This window comes from Homo sapiens, chromosome 20 (genome assembly GCF_000001405.40).
Source record: "Homo sapiens chromosome 20, GRCh38.p14 Primary Assembly".
Classification (NCBI taxonomy): Eukaryota; Metazoa; Chordata; class Mammalia; order Primates; family Hominidae; genus Homo; species Homo sapiens.
The window spans coordinates 3,865,236-3,879,024 of NC_000020.11; the positions used below are offsets into that span (position 1 = coordinate 3,865,236).

A 13,789-nucleotide genomic window follows, 5' to 3' on the forward strand; every position below is an offset into this window, starting at 1 on the left:
TCGGACCCAGCAGCCCCCCATTGTTGCCTGCTCCAAGCCTCACATCTAACCCTAGCTGCGGCTGTCTGCTGGGAAGAGCCAAGTCCATAGGGCCCTTTGGGCACATGGCCAGGCCTCTGACCCTGTGGCTGCTCTCTAGTTCTCAGGCCCAGGCAGGATGTCAGTGCAGGATGGAGCCCCGCCCTACCAAAGGCTTCCAGGTGGGCATGAGCTCACAGGCAGGCCAGGGAGTAGGGAAAGGCTGCCCTGGAGGAGGCCACCATTGGTGCAGATTCTTGGTCCCCTCTACCCCCACTGCTCCAAGAAAAGGTGGCCTAGGGGCATTATAGATTGGGAATTGAGGGGTTGGAGTGTTAGTTCATGCCCTGGCCTGGGAATGGGACCGCCCTACCAGGTTCGTCTCCCTGCCAACCCCAGTCCCTTCCAGTGCTCTCCTTTCTTTCCCAGGAGACCCCAGCAGCTCCAACACCCGCCGGCGCCACTGGAGGCAGCTCAGCCTGGCTAGACAGCAGCTCTGAGAATAGGGGCCTTGGGTCGGAGCTGAGTAAGCCTGGCGTGCTGGCATCCCAGGTAGACAGCCCGTTCTCGGGCTGCTTCGAGGATCTTGCCATCAGTGCCAGCACCTCCTTGGGCATGGGGCCCTGCCATGGCCCAGAGGAGAATGAGTATAAGTCCGAGGGCACCTTTGGGATCCACGTGGCTGAGAACCCCAGCATCCAGCTCCTGGAGGGCAACCCTGGGCCACCTGCGGACCCGGATGGCGGCCCCAGGCCACAAGCCGACCGGAAGTTCCAGGAGAGGGAGGTGCCATGCCACAGGCCCTCACCTGGGGCTCTGTGGCTCCAGGTGGCTGTGACAGGGGTGCTGGTAGTCACACTCCTGGTGGTGCTGTACCGGCGGCGTCTGCACTAGTGAAGCCCTGGGCTCTTCCCACCACCCATCTGTTCCGTTCCTGCAGTACACCTGGCCCCTCTCCGAAGCCCCTTGTCCCTTTCTTGGGGATTGTGGAGGCTGGGTCAGAGGGGAGTTAAGGGACTGCAGGCCTGGCAGCAGGACATGCCTTGGCTGAACCAAGTCCTGAGAGCAGCATCTCTGTCCCCACGGTGCCTTGTGTGGGTCCCCGTCCTTGGCTTTCTGGGTCCTGGGCTGCCCCCAGTGCTCCAGACCTTCCCCACTGGCAATCCAGGTTATCATCCATGTCCTCCAGAGGAGCTTCCTCCTCCAGGCCTCAGCCCTGTTGGCCCAGGTGGAGCAGGAGGGACCACTGGAACATGTGGTGCTTGGGAATGCCTCTCCTGTTGCATTGGTCCCTGAAGGCCTCAGGGCAGGTATGTGGTGTGTGGGCGACTCCACAAGACCTGCCTCCCATCCTGGCAGCCCAGCCTGAGACCGTTGCATTGAGGCAGGCAGGAGCGGCAGGGTGGCTGCTCTCCAGGAGCCCAACTGCCTTGAGTTCCTGCCCCACTGGGCCCCCTCCCCTGCTGGGCAATCCTGGGAAGGTCTGGAGGTTCCTGTGGACCTCAGGGAAGCCAGGGGCAGCTGTCAGGCCTGAGGAAGACCTGTGGAGCTCCTCTCCAGCCTCCTCTTTCCCTCCCCTCTGGTCTCCATTCTCTTCAGCTCCCTACATGGGCTGGGGAGGAGACACCTGGTGGGCAGAGCTCAGGCAGAGGTTTGGATTTCAGCTCCCTCACTTCCGGGGCTGTGTGGCTTTGGCAGATGTCAGACTTCTGGTCTTGCTTCTCCACGTGGACAGTGAGTATCTGGCTCATTCTTCACTGGGTTCTTCTGAGATTGAACCTACAGGTGTTTGCCAAGTGCCTGGCCCAGAGCAAGTGGCCACTGCTTCTCCCATCTCTCTCCTGCCCAACCTGGTAGAGCTGAGGGCATGAGAGGCAGAGTGCACAGTGGTCAAGGGTGCAGCTCTGCAGCACAGGCAGCCTAGGCCTGCGTCCCAACCTGCCTCTCACCAGCTCTGTGACCTTGGGCAAGGGATTTATCTGTCTGTCCCTTAGTTTTCTCACCTGTAAAAGGAGGATAAGTATATATATATATTTCCCAGTGTTGTGAAGATTAAAGGAGTTTATCGATGTAGGTCTTAGGATGAGTCCTGGCATTTACCAAGGGTTGGATATATGTTATTATCACTATTAAGTGTTGAGGGTCCAGGCATGCTGGGCAACAGGGACCCCATCTCTACAAAAAAGTTTAAAAAATTAGCCAGGCGTGGTGGTGCACCTGTCGTCTTAGCTACTTGGGAGGCTGAGGTGGGAGGATCACTTGAGCCCAGAAGCTTGAAGCTGCAGTGAGCTAGGATCGTGCCACTGCACTCCAACCTGGGTGAGAGAGCGAGACCCTGTCTCAAGAAAAAGAAAAATGCAGAGAAACAGGAGTCTTGGCTACTCCTTTAGAGGCAGACTCAGACCCTCCTGCCTCACAGCTTTATCTTTGTATTTGCCCCTTACTTTATCTTGTGCCTTGAGAAATTGCTGGGGAGAGAGGTATGTCCACTGGGCAGCTGTACAGGATGGAGGATATAGGGCGTTTCCACTCCCAGCAGCCAGGTTCCCTCACCCCAAGCTCACCCACTGTTGGGGAGATTATCTACAATAACACCAGAAACACATTGGGGTGGATTGGGGGTATCCTTATGGGTTCTTTTCAGGGAACCATTGCTGGACAAGGCACAGGAGCCACCTCCATTTCTGAGCTCTGCAAGGGACAAGAACTAGAGCCATCAGGGGCTGGGCTCACTGTGGCCCCACCCCAAGCCGTCAGCCTCCAGGGATCTACACCCTGCCTTGGCTGCTACAGCTTTTTCACTCCACTGCCCTAGGGGAGTTCAGCAACCTAATGATCTCTATCTCTGAACATCTCTTCATCCCATGCTCCAAGTCCAGCAACCTGCACCCTGGAACCAGGAGTGGACCCTACCCGAGCTGTCTGTATTAATCCCCATCCCCCACCACCAATCTTAAAAAGCCCTCTGTCCCCCTACCCTAAACCCCAGTTAGGTACCCATGCTGGGCAGGTCAGTTAACAATTTATGCACAGGTACTAGTTTTATTGTATTACCGTTCCAGGGTAGCTTTGAAAAAAGTATCTCAAAAAGGCAACATGGGCCGAGCGCAGTGGCTCACGCCTGTAATCCCAGCACTTTGGGAGGCCAAGGTGGGCAGATCGCCTGAGGTCTGGAGTTCAAGACCAGCCTGGCCAACAGGGTGAAACCCCGTCTCTACAAAAATAAGAAAATTAGCCAGGTGTAGTGGCAGACGTCTGTAATCCCAGCTATTCAGGAGGCTGAGGCACGAGAATTCCATGAACCCAGGATGCGGAGGTTGCAGTGAGCCGAGATTGTGCCACTGCGCTCCAGCCTGGGCGACAGAGTGGTATTCTGTTTCAAAAAAAAAAAAAAAGGCAGTATGTAGCCCCGAAGACTGTTGCCCAAGTGGTAGAATGTTAGCACACTACCAGCCTAGGTAAAAAATACAAAAAGTAACTGGGCATGGCGGCGCCCATCTATAGTCCCAGCTACATGGGAGGCTGAGGTGGGAAGATAAGTCACTTGAGCCCGCCAGGAGGCGGAGGTTGTAGTGAGCTGAGATCGCACCACTGCACTCCAGCCTGGGTGACCGAGTGATACTCTGTCTCAAAGAAAAAAAATTATAATTTTAGCACAGTAACCAGCCATGATGGGAGATACCCTGGGTAAGGCATGTAGAAAGGGTTGAGGGACCTTCCCAGTCCCCTAGCCCCGCCTCCCATCCTCCCATCTTTTTCTTTTTTCTTTTTTTTAGAGAATCACCCAGCCTGGAGCGAAGTGGTGCAATCATAACTCACTGTATCCTTAAACTCCCGGGCTTAAGCGATCCTCCTGCCTCAGCCTTCTGAGTAACTAGGACTTCAGGTACCTGTCACCATGCCTGGCTAATTAAATTTTTTTTTCTTTTTTTTTTTTGAGATGGAGTCTTGCTCTGTCACCCAGGCTGGAGTGCAGTGGCGCGATCTCAGCTCACTGCGACCTCCACCTCCTGGGTTCAGGCCATTCTCCCGCCTCAGCCTCCAGAGTAGCTGGGACTACAGGCGCCTGCCACCACGCCTGGCTAATTTTTTTGCACTTTTAGTAGAGACGGGGTTTCACTGTGTTAGCCAGGATGGTCTCGATCTCCTGACCTTGTGATCCGCCCGCCTCGGCCTCCCAAAGTGCTGGGATTACAGGCGTGAGCCACCGCGCCCAGCCAAATTAAATTTTTTATAGAGATGAGGTCATGCTGTTATGTTGCCCAGGTTGGCCTCATGAGATCTTGCCTTAGCCTCCCAAAGTGCTGGGATTACAGATGTGAGACACTGCACCCAAACCCCACCACTTTTTTTTTTCCTTTTTCTTTTTTTGAGACAGTCTTACTCCGTTGCCCAGGCTGGAGTGTAGTGGCATGATCTCAGCTCACTGCAACCTCCGCCTCCCGGGTTCAAGCAATTCTCCTGCCTCAGCCTCCCGAGTAGCTGGGATTACAGAGGCCTGCCACCACACCCGACTAATTTTCGTATTTTTAGTAGAGACGGGGTTTCTCCATGTTGGCCAGGCTGTTCTTGAACTCCTGACCTCAAGTGCTCCACCTGCGTTGGCTTCCCAAAGTGCTGGGATACAGGAGTGAGCCACTGCGCCTGGCTGATCCCAGCACTTTTCAAATGATGCCGCTCAAAGCCGTGACTTGGCCTACTTTGAACAGCAAACTTGTTGCTGCTGTTGTCAACCTGAAGGCCTCTCAAATGCCAGCTTCAAGCAGGGTGTGAATTGGCCAGTGTCAGATCTCAGGAGTCCTGTGTTGAGAGTGTGGCTTTCAGCTGCGGGGAGCTGCACTTGGTGGGGAAAGCCAGGCAGGTCACCCTCACAGCCAGATAATGTGGAGGTCAGAACCCAAGGAAGGGAGTGAGACCTCCACTCCCAGTGGGGGACCTGGCCACCCATCCTTGGGGACCTGAGAAAGCGTACTTCACCTTGGGGTGAAGGCTGGGTGGGGCCAGAGGGACCAGTGCCCTCCTCAGTGCTTAGGGGCAGAGCCACCTGCAGCAATGGTATCTGCATATTAGCCCCTCTCCACCTTCTTTCTCCCGCTGAATCATTTCCCTCAAAGCCCAAGAGCTGTCACTGCTTCTTTCTCCCTGGGAAGAATGCGTGGACTCTGCCTGGTGATAGACTGAAGCCAGAACAGTGCCACACCCTCGCCTTAATTCCTTGCTAGGTGTTCTCAGATTTATGAGACTTCTTAGTCAAATATGAGGGAGGTTGGATGTGGTGGCTTGTGCCTGTAATCCCAGCATTTTGGGAAGCCGAGGTGGGAGGATCCCTTGAAGCCAGGAGTTTGAGACAAGCCTGGGCAACAAAGCAAGACCCTATCTCTAAAAAAAAAAAAAAAAAAAAAAAAAAAAAAAAAAAAAAAAAATCTAGGAGATGCTCTTTACCCTGCCTGGCCTCAAACTATTAATAGCTTCCTTTGAGCAACATTATTTATTATGAACTTTCAAACACAAAAAAGTAGAGAGAGTAGAATAACAAATCCCCATGAGCCCATCACCCAACTTCAGTAATTATCAATTCATGGCCATCTTGTTCACCCCTGCCTGCTTCCCTGCTTCCCCTCATTCTGCAGAGGTTCTTTTCTTTTGAGACAGAGTGTTGCTCTGTTGCCCAGGCTGGAGTGCAGTGGTGCAACTTCGGCTCACTGCAACCTCCGCCTCCCAGGTTCAAGTGATTCTCCTGCTTCAGCCTCTCAAGTAGCTGGGATTACAGATGCCCGCCACCACACCTGGCTAATTTTCGTATTTTTGTTAGAGATGGGGTTTCACCATGTTGGCCAGGCTGGTCTCGAACTCCTGACCTCAAGTGATCCGCCCGCCTTGGCCTCCCAAAATGCTGGGATTACAGGTGTGAACCACGGTGCCTGGCCACTGTACAGGTTATTTATAGAAGTTGGAGAGTGAAGGGTTGAGAAAGCCAAGGGGCAGATGCGGGTCTGGAGGATTTTGTGCCTAAGGCCCTCTCTTTGCTCCCAGACAGCATGAAGTAACAATGAGGCATCCACCTCTTGGTTTTGTGGCCTCTGTGGATGACGTCTCTCACCTTGAACCAGTTCAGAGTTGGAGTAGCGCAGGATCCTGTCTTCAGAGGAGGGGCCGAAGCGGGTTCCTCTGTTGTCAAGCTCTTTGGAGGTGCCTGGCTGCTACTACTGTCCCAGAGAGGTGATGATGAATGATGGGTGTGTCCAGTGGCAGTTTGCCCCACTGAGGCAGGGGCTTCCACTAGGCCCTGACAGAGCCCTTCCAGCAGGCAGAAATCCCTGTGCTAGGCAAGATTCAAACTCCGTAGCATGTCTCCTGCTCCCATCTCTTAGGAATGGAGTCCTTCAGGCCTTGAGTCCCACATTTTCCATGATGCTCCATTAAGCAGCTGATAGCACCCCCACCTCCAGGGAAAGTGAGTTCAGAGTCCTTGGTCTAATGCATCTGTGTTGAAATTGAGGCCTTCCCCTGTGTTCACCTTTCTGCTCTTTTTCTTTTAGCCCAAGGCTATGAAGGCCTCATTCGGTGCTGGGCATGGTCACTCCTAGCATTCCTCACTCTGTTGCTAACAGCAACAGCAATAATAATAAGGGTTACAACTTACTCCATACCTTACTGTCTGCCAGGCATTAAGCTAAGTGCTTTACATATATTAAGTCATTTAATCCTCATAATGACCCTATGAAAGAGATACCATCTCAACCCAATTGACAGCTGGTTTGCAAGATTAGGAGGGATGAAGGACCCAGGGGACAATGCGAGGGAAAACTCTGACCCCGGGGCCCCAGGCTGGATGTTCTTTATGCCTGTGAACCACAGCTTATCACATGTCTGGAGTTAGGGACCCCACTTAAAGTGAGATTTTGGCTGGAGGTGGTGGATCATACCTATAATCCCAGCACTTTGGGAGACCAAGGCAGAAGGACTGCTTGAGGCCAGGAGTTCAAAACCAGTGTAGGTAACAGCTAGACCCTATCTCTACAAAAAATTTAAAAATTAGCTGGGTGTGGTGGTATGTGCCTCAAGTTCCAGCTACTCAGGAGGCTGAGGTGGGAGGATCACTTGAGCACAGGAGTTTGAAGTTACAGTGAGCTATGATGGCACCACTGCACTTCAGCCTAGGCAACAGAGGGAGACCCTGTCTTTAAAGTACATAGAGGTTTTTCACACCAACACATCTCTGCCCAGTGTGCCAACATCTGCCACCTGCTATAATAGTACTATAACACTCAATATGTAATTAATGTAGTCTCAGGGATGTTATGACAATATGATTACAACTATCACGTGTGTGCCCAGCCAGGCTCAATGCCCCAGGCTGGGCGAGGTGGGGCAGGGGACACAGCCTAAAATGCCAGGCCTCAGGAAGCCATTTGGTTTAGCAGACATTGTTTATTAAAGGAGTTACCTATGCCAGATCGAAGGCCTAAGATGATTAAGACACTATGAGTGCCTTCAAGTGGTTGGGGACGTTCATGATTGTGGTACAGACAAATAGGCTTTCACATCATTCTTTTATGTAATCATACAACAGATATTTGCACCTACATGTGCAGAGCACTGTGATAGGCCTCAGTGACACAGAATAATACGGCAAAGACCCCACCCGATGAGCCCCCTCCCACCACCCACCAGTACAGTAGGGGGTGGTTTAATGGAGTGTTCCTGGAATATGAAGTGGGGGCAGGCATTAGGGGTGGCAAAGGGACAAGTGTTTATCTGATCAGTTATGTACTGTTTATAATAAGTAAATCAGCAGAGGGGGAATAATACTTAGAACCTATAGAGAGTAAATCTGACAAGATGAAATGCTGATGAAAATATGGAGGAAATGAAACTCTCATGGGTTTTGCAGGGAATCTAAGTCAGTGCTGTGTTGTGAATGTAGGTGTACCCTTTGAATTCATATGTTGAATCCTAACCCCCAAAGCAATGGCATTAAGAGGTGGGGCCTTTGGGGCTGGGTATGGTGGCTCATGACTGTAATCCCAGCACTTTGGGATGCTGGCAGGGGGCAGATCACTTGAAGCCAGGAGTCTGAGATCAGCCTGGCCAACATGGTGAAACCCCATCTGTACTAAAAATACAAAAATTAGCCAGGTGTGATGGCGTACATCTGTAATTTCAGCCACTCGGGAGGCTGAGACAGGAGAATAGCTTGAACCCAGTAGGTGGAGATTTCAGTGAGCCGAGATCGTGCCACTGCACTCCAGCCTGGGTGACAGAGCGAGACTCCATCTCAAAAAAATAATAAAGATGTGGGGCCTGTGGGAGGTGGTTAGGTCATGAGGGTGGAGATCATGAATGGGGTTAGCACCTTATAAAACAGGCTTGAGGGAGCCCTTCTGTCCCTTCTACCATGTGTGGATGCAGTGAGAAGGCACCGTATCTCTGAAGCAGAGAGCCCGCCCTGGACACTGGATCTGCTGGCACCTTGATCTTGGACTTCCCAGCCTCTAGAACTGTGAGAAATAATTTTTTGTTGTTTACAAATTACCCAGGCTAAGGTGTTTCATTGTAACCTGAATGGACCAAGCTGGTGTGACCCTGTTGGAAAACTGGCAGTATCTACCAAAAGCCGAACATACGTATAAACTGATCCAGCAGTTCCACTCCTGGGTATGTACACCACAGAAAGCTATGTCCACCGAGACATTGGCAAGAATGTTTCTAACCACACGCTGACTGTAGCCCCAAACCTGAAACAACCCAAATGTCCATCCACCAACCCAAATGTCCATCCACAGTTGAAGCTACAGTGAAGTCACAGGGTCGAATACTACTGCACAGCAACGAATATGAATGAAAATATCGCTATGCACAGCAACATGGATAAATTTCACAGACATGAGGTCAAGCAAAAGAGGTCAGAGTCCTCATCATCAAGAGAGAATTCATTGTATGATTCTCTTCCTACAAAAAGTACAGAAATAAGCAAAACTGATCCATGGTGTTAGAAGCCAGGGGAACAGTTAACAGGGGAGGGATACTGGGGAGGGGCATCCTGGAGTGCTGGTCTACCTCATCTGGGTGTTGATTTCACGAGTATTGTCAGTTTGTTTCCAGACTCCCTGTTGGAGATGTGGAAATAAAAACCACCTAAACAAGAGCAGAGAGGCCATTTGGTCAAAGTTTGCAAAGGAGTCAGCCATGATTGCTTGTATTTGGCAGGGGTCAAAGGCAGGCAGGGACTGTGAAATGTTATAGTGGAAAAAAAGGGAAGGCTCTGGGTGTGCTGTGATTGGAGATTGTTGGCATGGGGACAGAGCGGACTAACTGGAGGGGCATCTTTGGTTGGTTGGGGGGGTATATTTGGCTTTCTCTGGTTGGTCTGGAGTTGGAAGAGGGGGTGTGGTGGCTGGGGATTGGGAAGAAGCTGGCAGCCACTAAGTTCAGACTGTTCTGGGTCCGATTGCTGCTGAGGCTGTGGTTTGGCTTCCTTGGCTTCCCAGGCTGGTCATGGGTTTCTGGCCAGAGTCTATTGTCATATGTGGCCTGGCCATTGTCCAGTTGTATGTTCAGTCTCTTGGAAGGAAGGGTATTGACTCTGAGAGGGGCCACCATCGCTGGAATGGGGGACACACAGTACTTCCTCCAGCTGCCTACACCCCCCTAGGGTCAGTGGCGCCTGCCTGTGAGGGTGAGCCCAATGGCTAGAGGGCTCTGCTCCAAGTCATTGCTTACTACACCCACAAACATTCTTCGTTCTTTAAGGCCTAACTTAAAGCCCAGATCCTACAGGAAACCTTGATTAGACCCCTCTCTTTATTAAGCTTCCTAAGATCAAACCCTGCTTTTGTGTAAATGCTGACCTCCTTGCCTACATTTTAAAAACCTAGAGCTGGGCATGATGGCCCCAGCCTGTAATCCCAGTGATTCAGGAGACTGAGGTGGGAGGATTGCTAGAAGCCAGGAGTTCGAGACCAGCCTGGGTAACATAGCTAGACCACATCTCTTAAAATAAAATAGTTAATTTAGCCAGGCATGATGATATATGCCTGTAGTCCCAACTACTTGGAAGGCTGAGGTGTGAGGATCTTTGAGCCCGGGAGGTCGAGGCTACAGTAAGCTATGATCTCACCACTGTACTCCAGCCTGGGTGACAGAGCGAGACCCAGACTCAAAAAATAAAAATAAAAACCCTGAATATCTTCCTTCTACTTCTTCAGTGCTGTTTTTATTTAAAAAAAAAAAAAACCAGCCAAAACCACAACTTTTTACTGAAGTGTAATGTAAATGCTGTAAAAGGCAGTGAAAGGCACAAGGGAGGTGGAGGGGTAGGAAGGGTGGAAGTGGCGGGAGGAAGTGGCAGGGCAGGCAAAATGAAGGGAAGCCCTGGGTTCTTGTCCTGCATCCGCAGCCAGCTCCCACTTTCCTCACCCTCCAGGACCTGTAAACTGTGAGGCTGGACCAGTTATGTCAAATCTGTCCTCCCCCAGAGCTCAGTCCCTCTGCCCTTGGGTGTCCTTGGCACAAGGCAGGCTAGGCTGCACCAGCTTCCTCCATCTCCGTCCTGCCTCCCCCATCCCCAGGTGCCATTCCCACACCATCTGAATCACTGATTTCCTCGCAATCAGACGCTATCTTCCAGTTAATCACTTCGCTTGTATTTAACATAAGAAAGAAAAACCCTTTCATTATCACATACAGCTGGAAATCGGCTTCTTGCAGGAGGCGTATCCAAAGGAATTGGAGAAGAGATAAACTGGTAATTGGTGAAAGAATTACTTTAATTTTTTTTCCTACTTGCTGTCATGATGATGTCCTTAGAATTGTGAGCCCGTGGACACTTCTGTACAATAAATCTGCTATTATTACTTCTAGAACTACAGTTATAATGGTCTACAATGGCCAGATGCCTGCTTGTAATGAGAAGCTACTGCAGTGAAGATCAACAGAGTCAGGGGGCTTGTCTGTGACCTCTCCTCCTTTTCCCTCCTGCCTTCTCCCTGGGGATGGGTGGGTTTCTACTTAAAGACAAGCTCCCAGCTCTCAGACAGAGAATGTATGAGAGCAAAACAGAAGTCACAGTCCTTTGGTACTTAATCTTGAAAGTGACATCCCAGCAGTTTTTTTTTTTTTTTTTTTTTTTTAAGACAAGGGCATGCTCTATCGCCCAGGTTGGAGTAGAGTGGAGTAGAATGTCTCACTGCAGCCTCAAACTCCTGGGCTCAAGCAATCCTCCCACCTCAGCCTCCTGAGTTGCTGGGACCAGAGGCACACGCTACCATGCCTGGCTAACTTTCATGATTTTTAGTAGAGATGCGGTCTCACTGTGTTGCCTATGTTAGTCTCAGACTGCTGGGCTCAAGTGATCCTCCTGGCTCAGCCTCCCAAAGTGCTAGGATTACAGGCAGGAGCCTCTGCATCCACTCCCATCACTTCTGTAAATTGCAGTCAAGGGGCAATTTACCCAGAAGTAGGAACCACTGGAAGCACCATTATAGCAGCTGCCTCTTCAGGAGGGGAATTTGATTCTGTCCTACAAAATGACATATGCATGTGTTTTTTGACCCAGCAATTCCATTTCTAGTAGTCTAAGCCAAAGATAACATTGGCAAAAATAAAGATATATGTCCAAGGCTAGTCATTATAGCCCACTGTGTAAATAGCAAAAGACTGGAAATAACTCAGACAATGTCCATCTACAGAACATTGGCAATAAACCAAGGTATATCTACATTGGAGTGCTATGCAGCTGTGAATAGAAATGAGTATCTCTATACTGCTATGGAGTGAACTCCATGATGTTTTGCTAAGAGGAAAAAAAAAGTGGAAAACTGTATATATAATATAGAATCTTTGGGCTGGGTGGTGGCTCATGCCTGTAATCCCAGCACTTTGGGAGGCCGGGGCAGGTGGATTATGTCAGGAGATCGACACCATCCTGGCCAACATGGGGAAACCCCGTCTCTACTAAAAATACAAAAAAATTAGCTGGCCATGGTGGTACGCGCCTGTAGTCCCAGCTACTCGGGAGGCTGAGGCAGGAGAATCGCTTGAACCTGGGAGGCAGAGGTTGCAGTGAGTCACGATCACAGCACTTCCAAAAAAAAAAAAAAAAAGACCTGACTCCAGTGGACTGAAACTCATCAAATAGGCTTTTAAAATCCATGAGTTGGCCAGGCGCGGTGGCTCACGCCTGTAATCCCAGTGCTTTGGGAGGCCAAGGCAGGTGGATCACGAGGTCAGGAGTTTGAGACCAGCCTGGCCAACATAGTGAAACCCCGTCTCTACTAAAAAAAAAAATACAGTCCGGGTGCGGTGGCTCATGCCTGTAATCCCAGCACTTTAGGAGGCTGAGGTGGGCGGATCACCAGGTCAGGAGATTGAGACCATCCTGGCTAACACGGTGAAACCCCGACTCTACTAAAAAAAAAAAAAAAAAAAAAAAAAAAATTAGCCAGGCATAGTGGCAGGTAGCCTGTAGTCCCAGCTACTCGGGAGGCTGAGGCAGGAGAATGGCGTGAACCTGGGAGGCGGAGCTTGCAGTGAGCCGACATAGCGTCACTGCACTCCAGCCTGGGCGACAGAGACTCTGCCTCAAAAAAACAAAACAAAACAAAACAAAAATAAGCTAGACGTGGTGGCACGCGCCTGTAGTCCCAGCTACTCAGGGGGCTGAGGAAGGAGAATCGCTTGAACCCGGGAGGTGGAGGTTGTGGCGAGCCGAGATCACGCCAGTGCACACCAGCCCCGGCAACAGTGTGAGACTCCGTCTCAAAAAAAAAAAAAAAAAAAAAAAAAACACCAGGCATGGTGGCGCACGCCTGTAATCCCAGCACTTTGAGAAGCCAAAGTGGGTGGATTCTATGAGCTCAGGAGTTCGAGACCACCCTGGGCAACATGGTGAAACCTCCTCTCTGCTAAAATAGAAAAAATTAGCTGGGCGTGGTGGCACTTGCCTGTAGTCCCAGTTACTCAGGAGGCTGAGGCAGGAGAATCGCTTGAACCCAGAAGGCGGAGGTTGCAGTGAGCCGAGATCGCACCACTGCACTCCAGCCTGGGCAACAGAGTGAGACCGTCTCAAAAAAAAAAAAAAAAAGCCACCAGTTCATGATAATACTAAAAAGAATTCATTGTTGACCTCTAGAGGATGCCCCAGGAAACCAACTCATTCTGAAAACTGGTCAGTAAAGGGAAAGAATTGATCCTGCCTTTTCTATTTGAGTAGTTCCAGCTCCTCTGGAGGCTGAGGTTGAGGTACTTCAGGATAACAAAGAGTTGATGAGGGAAGATTCTTTATAGAAATATTCCAGTTAGGCTGGGTGCGGTGGCTCACACCTATAATCCCAGCACTTTGGGAGGCCAGGCAGGTGGATCACTTGAGGTCAGGATTTCGAGACTAGACTGGCCAACATGTTGAAACCCCATCTCTACTAAAAATACAAAAGAAAAGTAGCTGGGTGTCGTGGTGCACAGCCGTAATCCCAGCTACTCGGGAAGCCGGGGCAGGAGAATCGCTTGAACCTGGGAGGAGGAAGTTGCGGTGAGCTGAGGTCGTGTCACTGCACTCCAGCCTGGGTGACAGAGTGAGACTCTGTCACACACACACACACACACACACACACACACACACACACAAATTCCAGTTAACCAAGCATAGAAGAAACTACCTGATTAGAAAATTACGGTAGGGGCTGTAGCCCCTAACGTAAGTAGTTAATGTTATGAATTTCTCTTCTCTTGATGAGATGAATAAAAAGTAAATAGTGAGACATGGTGGCTCACA

At 50.6% G+C, this 13,789-nt stretch overlaps 1 protein-coding gene across 4 annotated transcripts in view, besides 1 other annotated feature; it reads left to right on the plus strand.

The window, feature by feature from the left end:
* The window catches only part of MAVS (mitochondrial antiviral signaling protein), a 29,285-nt gene extending 18,402 nt beyond the window's left edge, over positions 1-10,883 (plus strand). For all 4 annotated transcript variants that reach the window (NR_037921.2, NM_001385663.1, NM_020746.5 and 1 more), the window contains one exon: positions 448-10,883. Coding sequence is in view for 3 of the 4 variants with exons in the window: in NM_001385663.1 (NP_001372592.1) it covers positions 448-912 (465 nt within the window). In the remaining variant the exon portion in view is untranslated. The remainder of the gene's footprint in view (positions 1-447) is intronic.
* Positions 777-1,278: an enhancer, noted in NCBI's record as "H3K4me1 hESC enhancer chr20:3846659-3847160 (GRCh37/hg19 assembly coordinates)". NCBI's record gives its function as "activates a minimal SCP1, AML or CMV promoter by ChIP-STARR-seq in naive H9 embryonic stem cells {active_cell/tissue: H9 hESC(naive)}" and the evidence as "EXISTENCE:reporter gene assay evidence [ECO:0000049][PMID:30033119]".